At 43.5% G+C, this 7,881-nt stretch overlaps 1 long non-coding RNA gene across 1 annotated transcript in view; it reads right to left on the bottom strand.

Moving 5' to 3' along the window:
• Positions 1-3,034: 3,034 nt before the first annotated feature.
• Positions 3,035-7,881, bottom strand: part of RHOXF1-AS1 (RHOXF1 antisense RNA 1) — a 110,620-nt gene continuing 105,773 nt past the window's right edge. The window contains exons 4-5 of the long non-coding RNA NR_131238.1: positions 5,990-6,167; positions 3,035-4,252 (exon numbers count right to left, since the gene is read on the bottom strand). This is a non-coding gene — a long non-coding RNA (RHOXF1 antisense RNA 1). The remainder of the gene's footprint in view (positions 4,253-5,989; positions 6,168-7,881) is intronic.

Here is a 7,881-nt window from a genome sequence, read left to right as displayed (position 1 = left end):
CCAGTGTCATATTCCCTTTAGGCGTAAAGAAAATTTCTGCCTGCAGTTTCTGGAGTAAGTCTCTCCCCAGCAAGGGCACTGGACAATTTGACATATACGGAAACTCATGCTGCACTTCTTGTCCCCCAATAACACATCTCCTGGATTTGCAAAAAGGTCTCTTTTTTTTGGCCCCAGTAGCCCCTACAATAGTAGCACAGTTCTTTGTGGGGAGGCTAATTGGGTGAGTTACCACAGAGAAATCAGTACCAGTATCGACCAAAAAAATCCATTAATTGACCCCCTATTTCCATAGAGACCATAGGCTCCCCGGGGCCTAAAAAGATGGAGCCTGGTCTGTCTCAGTCCTCAAAATTCTCGGCCCGCTCTAGACCGATCAGATCAGGATCTGCCTTTGAAGCACCACGACTAGCAACTGAATGCCACACTTGGCTGTTACATCATTGACCATCATCTCCATCCTTTTCCTTTTCGGGGCACTCATCTTTCCAGTGGCCCATTTGCCTGCACCTTGCACATTGGTTCCTGTCCAGCTGGGACTGGCTTTCATCTCCCGCCCTTGTCTGTCTCCTTCCTCGGCCTCTGCCTCGGCCACTCCCTCTAGCAAATCCAGGGTTACTTTCTGCTAGTGCAGCAGCTATAAATTGAGCTGTCTCTTTGTTTCTATTTCTGGTTTTTCTTTCTTGCTTTCTCTCTGCCTCTTCTTCCTGGCTTATGTATATTTTGTTTGTTATTTCCAGGAGTTCACTAATATTTTTCCCTGCAAAGTCTTCCAGCTTCTGAAGCTTTTGTCTTATGTCTCCCTGAGCTTGTCCGACAAACATCATATTTATCATATTTTGGTTTTCAGGAGCCTCTGGAATAATTGGCACGTACAGCCTATAGGCCTCACAAAGCCTTTCATTAAATGTACTTGGGCTTTTGTCAGGCTTTTGGCACACTTCTGATATTTTGCTTATATTCATTGTCTTCCTTACTCCTGCTTTTTTCTCATTCAGGAGTGCCTTTCTATATTGCTGCAGGCCTTCCATGTCCCTTGCCTCATTTGGATCCCAGTTAGGGTCCTCATTTGGGTATTGCTGAACTGGCGTGGGTTAGGGGTGGTCTCTGGGGCTTCCCCTTCTAACCAGCTGAGAGCTGCCTGATTAACTCTCCTATGCTCCTCTGTATTAAATAATGTTAGCAAAAGTTGTTGACAATCCGGCCAGGTTGGATTATGTGTCATAATAGTAGAATTCACCAAATCAATGAGAGCCTGAGGTTTTTCTATATAGGAGGGGGTGTGTTGTTTCCAATTTAAGAGATCAGTAGTGGAGAAAGGCTGATAAACATAAAGCCTAGGGCCGCCTTGTATCTGCCCCTGGTCATCATAAACTTGTGTCCTGGTCTCTCAAAGTGGCATCTGCAAAGCCTGTGGTCGGCCTGAGCAGAGGCACCCAGCTGCCTCACCCTGTCCATCTTCCTTGTTTTTTTATAATGGGGGCTTCTGGTCCTCTGTGGGGGGAGACTGAGCCTCACTTTCCTCTGAGCCCAACTCTCCGGACACTCCTGACTCTGCCTCCTGCCTTATTCTGGTCAAAGATGGGTAGACTGGCACATATGGGGGCGGACATTCCCTTTCCTTGGGTGGGGCCTGAAGAACTGGTTTCAGCTGAGGCTTCAGGGATTCCTTTTCCTGGGAGATGCTAGGGGCTTTAGGTTCCTCTGCTTCCTTTGGTTGGGCCACATGAGACACTAATGCCTTGCAATATCCCTCTAGGCAGGGCTGTAGCTACTTGAGGTGACTTCGTGCCACATTGAGCCAAGAGTCTATATAGGGAAACTGGTCTGGGTATCCTGGTTGTCCTCCAACTCCAGTGACCACCTTAAACACATGGCCAGTTAATTCCCTATTATACCTTCGGAGGGCCTCCCCACATTGAAAGCAGGCCAATCTATTTCACAGTTATGTCCTTAGCTTTTGAGCATCCAGTTTCATCCCATAATCACCTCTAAATCTTTTTTTAAAATTCTATATCATGCACTCCAAAGGAGTTGATTTCAATGCTTTCCCTCCCATTTCCTCCCTTGTGGTGCACTTTCCCTTTCACTTTCACCCTTGGGTCCACCAGACCAGGTCCTATTACGGGAGTTTTGGACACTGCTTAGCCAGGAATGTGCCTTCCCCTGTCACAGCCTGCTGTGGCTGTGAAGCTGGTTCGATCAGCCGTATGCAGCGTCCTAGGTCTGATTTCCCCCACACTTGCCTCGGAGCACACAGCCCACGCTGAGGGATCTGTGCCTCCCCACATCACTCCCCACATTGGCCTCTCCCGAGACCGTCTCTTTCTCACACTTTCACACACCTCCCCTGCACCAGGACTCCTCATCGGATGAAACAAGCCTCTCTCGTGTCCCAGGTGAGCCTAGTTAGGCTCCCACATTCACACACATACACAGACCACTCCTACCCCAGGACTCCTCATCGGACAAAATGAGCCTCTCTCATGTCCCAGGTAGGTTCACATGCACCCACACACTCCCAGTTGGGATGGCAAGCCACTCTTGCCACCCTGCCAGCAAGCTGTACCTTGCTGCACTTGCCACTCTATCGGCCCATTTTCTCCCTTTTCCCAGTTCCACTGTTAGTGGGGACACGAGGTTCATCCAAATTGGCAAGCCACTCCTGCCGCCCCCAGCCACTCTAGGTTGGATTACTGGTTGGTCCCTGGGAGGTGACCAAGCTCCCCTTCATCCTTATGGGATGGGCTTTCATGCCTTGGGCCCTTGCTCCTTACAGCGGTTCCTGAAGTGCTGGTATCTTCCTGCAGCCCCATCCCCGGTTCCATTGCACTGCTGGGCAGGCCACTGGGATGCGGGGAGAGCCTATCTCTGTCTGGGTGAAGCTCCCCTGTGATACACCTTGGATGCCGGGTCTCCCCCGGTCCTTGGGCTCTAGTCCCCACAGGCAAAGGAGACAGTAAATCTGTCGTCTCCAATCCCAGGCGAGTCCCCAGAAATGTTGCGGGATTTTTTAAGGAATCAGAGAGACAAATGGGGTTCAGGAAGATATTTATTATTTAGGTGCACCGGCCCAGTACTCAGCCCAAAGGACTGAGCCCAGAACAAAGAGTTAAGTTACCTTTTAAGCATTTTGTAGGGTGGGTGGAGATCTGTGCAGGGGGAAGCATATTACAGAAGCGAGAAACAAAGACAGTTATTTAATTAATTGAGAAATGCATTACAGCATTTCTTACTTTTCAAGGAAAAACATGTTTTACAACTTGAGTTTATCTGTCTAGTGACCTTGCAGCTGCACAGCTAGAGAAACAGGGTCTTCACAATGTCTGGGAAAGGAGGAGAGATAAGGCTCACTAGCCACAGAAAAACAGGCAGTTAATTTTTAAAGGACTCCAACTCTTTCTCTTTCTCAGGGGGAATTGGGTTTTCTTACATACAACTGAGTTTCTCCTTACACATTCTTTAATTTCTTTTAATTCCTATTCCAATACCATAAAAGCAATTAAGGACAGGTCTAGAGTTAGTTAAAGACAGGTGGAGGTGGTGATAGAGAGGACAGGGTTACATTGGTAAGGGTGACAGTTAGAAGGGGAAGTCCTTTTAGTGAAATAGATGAGAGGTTTTAGATCTGCACAAACCTTTTTCATGGAAGTCCAACTTTGCTCCTGGGTAGTTTAAAGGACGTAGTCCCATGTACCACAAGGTTGCCAGGCTATAGGAGCAGAAAATCAGCGTCTTGGCTGCAGGTGATCACAACGATGAGTGCTAGGGGTAACTGTGTCAATTAGAGGGCCGAGGCATAAATAATTGTGTGAAAAGGCTAGCTGTCATTGATCTTTTACATTTCCACAAGGTATGACAGAGCAAGCATAAAAGGCAATGGTCTGAGGTGACTCAGACTTAGTTACATTAATAACAAAGGAGCTAGTAACAGAATAAGGAAAGGAAAAGAAGCAATATAGAAGGTATATGAAAATTAAGCTTTCTTTAACTTTAACTTAGTAAGGCTTAATCCTAGTACAGTAACCCATGATTCTGACGAGGAAGATGTTTTCTTGACTTGAGTATGGTGGGTCCATCCTTTCTCAGCTGTGAGGATGGCAGTCTCAGTGGTTAACAGCATAAAATAGGGTCCTTCTCAGGCTGGCTCGAGTTTTTTTCTTTCTGTCTTTTGATGAGGATGTGGTTTCCAGGCTGCTGCTGGTGTACTGGAAATTCTAGGGCTGGTACCCGTGCTAAAAGACTTTTAGTTCTGAGGGAAGGGAAAGTGGAAGATAAAAAGTATATAATTTTTGCTGCATATTCTGGGGCTTGAGGTCCCATGGTGATGCCTCCCACTCCATTCCTGCTCAGCACCACTCACAGGATGCTGCAGCCCTGCCCCCTCTTAAGGTCTTGGCCTTCTAGTGGCCTTCATCTCCCCTGCACATTGTGGCCTTGGGGATGAGGAGCTTGTGACTTACCCAGCTGCCCTCGGACCTTAAGAAAGCTAAACACCATTTTATATTTGACAATGCTTTTTGTATGATTTTGTACCAGGTAAGTTAAATTTTACCTTTATATTAATGTGCTATTAATGTTAAACTTAATTTTAATAAAATCTTGTAGATATTATCCAATTTTAATGTCTGACTATAAGGTAAGATTTTTATAGACTCTTTTTAACATGTTAAATTTTTTGTTAAAGAGCAGGTTAGTGCTTTAAGAATAAACTATTGTGGTTTTATTTTAATGTTCAGTTCACAGCAAAACTGGATGATAAACCCTTTACCTTTAGCCAAAATGTTTACACACAGAATTTCCTTTACAATTAACATGTTAAAACTTGCTTAAACCTTTAAAACAAAAATTTTTAAACCTTTTAATGTAGGTAAAAATCCATATTCTTATGCCTCCTTATAATCCTTTTATTAAAAGTATATTTTATTTTTCTTACATACTTTGTACATAAACTGTTTTTTTAATAGTTTTACATTCAGGAGGCCTAATTACTTTTAAATTATACAATATTTCTTGCATAAATTCCCTTTATAACCTTTCTTACGACTTTCACAGACAATCTTCAACATGTCTTAACTTTCTGCCTTCCTTTTACACTATTTCTTTTCCTAGTTTCACCCTCTGTCTTTCTTTGATTTCTGTCTCTTACTTATTCTTTCCCTCTATTTCTCTCTCTCATTTGCACTCTCTTTTTTTCTCTCTCTCTCCGTCATCCCTTGTTCCTTTTTCCCTCCCAAGTTCTCCTGCTCCTGCCGGCCGGCAAGGCCGGGCAATGGCATGGGTCCCGCCCCCACACACACACTGCCGTCTGTTTCATCTGCTTTTTTTTTCTTTTCCCAATTTCCCTTTTTACTTTTTTCCTTTCTTCTTACACTCAGTTTCTTGGGCTGGGTGGGATTTGTGGGGCTGCAGTCCAGACCCCGGGCCATCACTGGCCCAGAGGCTTGGCAGATGCCTGCTGCAAGTTGCAATAATTATGCCCTTTCACCTCCTCTGCTCTCCTCCTGGCGCCGTTCCCCACCCTCTTTTTCACATAGAGCTGGGCTGGGGAGAGGGACTTAACCCTTGGTGCGCCTGTCTGGTGTCACGCTTGCTGTTTTTGCTCTTTCTCTCTGACTTCCTTTCCTGGTTTCTTTTTCCTCCCTGCTGGACTTCGCCTCTGCCAGCCACCTATGCTGCTGTTTTCCCCCCTCTCCTTCCCCTTCCCCTAGGGGAGCAACTGGTGGGAGTGGAGCTTAGCCTTTTTCTTTTCCTGAGAAGAGAGGAAAGGGGAGTTTTGAATATATATTTACTACCGGAGGTTTGTGTGAGATTCAACCCCCACAATGGGGATTTCTCACCTCTTTGAGGTTCAATCCCCCAATGGGGATTTCTCACCTCTTTTTGAGGTTCAACCCCTACAATGGGGATTTCTTACCTCTTTTTAAGGTTTAACCCCCCCAATGGGGATTTCTCACCTCTTTTTAACCACCCCAAGGAAATACTTTACCGGCTCTCCCAGTGTTTTTTTTTCGTCGATTTGGGCACAGAGTTTCCTGGTTCACGTGGATGTGAGGATCCTTTACTCCAGATCGCCAGCCAGTTTTTGTTTTTTTTTTCCTGCGTTGCTGAGAGTCTGGGTTTATTCATCACACCAGGTGGATCTTAATTCCATATCCCTGAGGCCACTGCAATGAGGCAGAGGAGTGTGCTCCCTCATGAGAAAGGACTGGAGACCGCCCCCAGAAGAGAACGTATCCATGTACGGATTTCCACCAAAATTGTTAGAAATGCTTGTTTCCCAGTGCCATAAAGAAATTTACTTGAACATAAATTTAATTTCCTCAGCAAGGGCATTTTTACTTTCTGCAGAAAGGGTACACTCGCCAGCTGTTCTGCCATGAGAGTACACTGAACAAGGGAGACAGGGTCATTTATAACCTGACATGTCCACCCTACTGCTATGTCCAGTCTCCATTGGCTGGAATGGAACCTCACATTCTGTATTAGTCCTGATTGGCTAGCAACTTAGAACTTTTTAAAAGAGGCAAAGGCAGAGGAGAACAAAGGAAGGAGGAAGTAATTTATGGAATGCTGAGAAAGGTAAAAACACCTTCAAATAAGGAAAAGGAACAGGCTATCCTAATGCTTGCTTGGACCAGTATAAGCATGCCAGGGCAAATATTTAGGCTAAATTGTGGAAGCTAAGAACATAAAGTACATTGATTTCTTTATTACAGCTCACAGATATTTAAGAATGTTAGCCCAGGTCTTTGAATAAATTTTGCTTCTAAGAGAAGTTACTATTTCTTCCTAATTAGATGGGGAGGAAAGTCTTTGAAGAGGAACCTCTACTTTACTTTTCACAATCATGAAATGAAATTAGAAACCAATAGCAGAAGGGAAACTGGGAAATTCACAAATATGCGGAAATAAATAATATGCTGTTAAACAACAAATGGATTGAAGAAGATATCACCAGGGAAACTAGAAAATACTTAGAGATGCATTAAAATGAAGACACAAACTCCCAAAACCTATGAAATGCAGCAAAAACAATGCTCAGAGGAAAATCTATACCTAAAAACACCTACATTAAAAAAGAAGAAATGTGCAAAATCAATAATCGAACTTACACATTTAGAAACTAGCAAAGGAGAGGAAACTAGACCAAAGCTAGCAGAAGGAAGGAAATAATAAAGAATGGAGACAAACAAAATAGAGAATAGGAAAGCAATATAAACTATCAGCAGATCCAAAATGTGGTTCTCTGAAAGATCAACAAAGTTGACAAACTTTTAGCCAGACTAACAAAAGAGGGAATATCAAAAACTAAAATAAGAAATGAAAGAGGGGATAATACTGGTAAAAAAAAAAAAAAAAAAAAAAAAAAACCAGACACATAGACCAATGGAAAAGAATAGAGAGCCCAGAAATAAAGCTGCACACCTATGGCCATTTGATCTCTTACAAACTTGACAAAAATAAGCAATGGGGAAAGGACTCCCTATTCAGTAAATGGTGCTGAGATAGCTAACTAGCTATATGCAGAAGAATGAAACTGGGCCCCTACATATCATATACAAAAATTATCTGAAGATGGGTTATCATATACAAACATTTTATCATATACAAAAATTAACTGAAGATGGGTTAAAGATTTAAATGTAAGATATCAAACTATAAGAACCCTAGAAAATCTAGGAAACACCATTCTGGACATCAGCCTCAAGAAAGAGTTTGTGAGTAAGTCCTCAAAAGCAATTGCAACAAAAACAAAAATTGACAATTGGGACCCAAGTAAACTAAAGCACTTTTGCATAGCAAAAGAAGCTATAAACAGAGTAAATAGACAACCCACAGAATGGGAGAAAATATTCACAAACTATGCATCCAACAAAG

Source organism: Homo sapiens, chromosome X (genome assembly GCF_000001405.40).
Source record: "Homo sapiens chromosome X, GRCh38.p14 Primary Assembly".
NCBI classification, from domain to species: Eukaryota; Metazoa; Chordata; class Mammalia; order Primates; family Hominidae; genus Homo; species Homo sapiens.
This window is presented reverse-complemented; position numbering and strand designations above follow the sequence as displayed.